Raw genomic sequence first — 2,179 nt, 5'->3', positions numbered from 1 at the left:
ACACAAACCTTGGGATTTCTGCTTTCAAAACTCATGTCTTTTCCATACTGTCCCCACCAGAGGGCAGCATTAGAAGTCAGGCAGCCCTGGGGAGCCAATTTTACCTCTGCTACCTGCTAGCTGGGTTAACATAGGGAAGGTGACTTCACCTCCTCTCTGAGTCTCAGTTTCTCTTCTCTAGAGTGAGGGTTGGATGAACTAATACACACACACACACACACACACACACACATATATATATATGTCTAGCACTATCTCTGAGACATAGTGTATGGTATCTATTTCATTCATATACATTACCTTTTTTTTTTTTTTGGAGATGAAGTCCAGCTTTGTCACCCGGGCTGGAGTGCAGTGGCGCTATTTTGGCTCACTGCAACCTCCGTCTTCTAGGTTCAAGCGATTCTCCCGCCTCAGCCTCCCGAGTAGCTGGGATTACAGGCACCCACAACCATGCCCAACTAATTTTTGTATTTTTAGTAGAGACGGGGTTTCACCATGTTGGTCAGGCTGGTTTCGAACTCCTGACCTCAAGTGACCCACCTGCCTTGGCATCCCAAAGCGCTGGGATTACAGGCGTGAGCCACTGCACCCAGCCCATTTAAAAATATTTTATGTTTTTCATGTCAGATAGGTACTGTGCTGATATCATAGCAAGGTTTGAGGGAAACACATCTTACACATGAGTGTGAAAACCCAATCATCACACTTATGAGCTGCAAAAGGATCTATACACATTGTTTAAAAGATGCACCATGGTGTATTGGGAAAACATGAACTAAGAGACAGAGTCCTGGGCTCGTGAGCTATCTTGGTCTTACCTTGCTAAGTGACCTCATGCAAGTCTTGACCTCTCTGGACTTTGGAAGACTCTTCATCTAGGCTAAAACATGACAGTCACCAGTAGGGGGGGGCTTTCAAAATCCCAATTAAAAATATGAAATATATATATGTGAATGGTTAACACCAAAAGCAAGATAACAGATGCATCTGAAGAAAAAGAGAAGGGGATGAGATTGAAGAAGGAGGTTCAACTGTATTTACAGTGCTTTATTTCTTAAAGAAAAGTTGGAGTAAATAAGGCAAAATGCTTAGCTTTGATAAATCTATGTGGTAGAACACAATGGACAGTGTTCTCTATGCTTTTAAAAGGGAGAAAAGAGTTTGGTGAAAAGGAGATAGAGGATGGAATATTGGGTAAGGACATTTCAGGCATAAAGAAGTGAGCAGAGTGGCTCACGCCTGTAATCCCAGCACTTTGGGAGGCCGAGGCGGGCGGATCACGAGGTCAGGAGATCGAGACCATCCCGGCTAAAACGGTGAAACCCCGTCTCTACTAAAAAAAATACAAAAAATTAGCCGGGCGTAGTGGCGGGCGCCTGTAGTCCCAGCTACTTGGGAGGCTGAGGCAGGAGAATGGCGTGAACCCGGGAGGCGGAGCTTGCAGTGAGCCGAGATCCCGCCACTGCACTCCAGCCTGGGCGACAGAGCGAGACTCCGTCTCAAAAAAAAAAAAAAAAGAAGTGAGCAGAGACATAGAAGAGATAAAAAGTATGGAATTTTCCAAGATATTTTGATACATAAAATTCAAGGAAGGGACTGGCTGAGATAAGCAAGGAGTAGTAGAGAGGTCAAGTCAAGGAGGGCCTTGTGTGCCAAGCTGGGGAGTATGGACTTTATCTTTTCTACTGTGGAGGTAGGAAGGACAGTCACCAGAGTTGTGTGATATGTACTTTTGCAGTTTGAAATCATTCATTCGTTTGTTCTTCATTCATTCTTTCATTGACCCACTGCCTTTCCAATCTCATGCCAGTCATTGTTCTGGGCATTACAGATGCAGTGTTGAACAGGATGGGCACCATCCTTTCTTTGATGGAGTTACTCTCTTGGGAAAGCAGAGACTGAAGTAATTGATTATAACATTGATTAATTTCAAATGTGATTCACTACTTAGTAGCAGTGTAGAGGCTGGAGGCAAGGACACCAATTAGGGCTTATGACAGTAGTCCAGAAAGGGGAATTAGAGGCCCTGGACCAGGGCAATGGCAGATAAGATGGAGATGAAAAGACAGCATTGCAAATATTCTAGAAAGTGATGACTGGTTGAATGAGGAGGGGAAGAAGAAAGAGCAAATCGTCAATAATATTTCGGCCTGAGTGCCTGGGGGGAGCAGTGGTG

General features: G+C 44.5%; 1 non-coding gene across 1 annotated transcript; it reads right to left on the bottom strand.

Moving 5' to 3' along the window:
* Positions 1–624: 624 nt before the first annotated feature.
* On the bottom strand, positions 625–728 carry LOC124906155 (small nucleolar RNA U13). Its single transcript, XR_007088744.1, has one exon. It is a non-coding gene; the product is annotated as a small nucleolar RNA U13 (small nucleolar RNA).
* Between the last annotated feature and the right edge of the window lie 1,451 nt (positions 729–2,179).

Source organism: Homo sapiens, chromosome 2 (genome assembly GCF_000001405.40).
Source record: "Homo sapiens chromosome 2, GRCh38.p14 Primary Assembly".
NCBI lineage: Eukaryota > Metazoa > Chordata > Mammalia > Primates > Hominidae > Homo > Homo sapiens.
The sequence above is the reverse complement of the archived record's forward strand: the minus strand, read 5'-3'. Positions and strand labels throughout refer to the sequence as shown.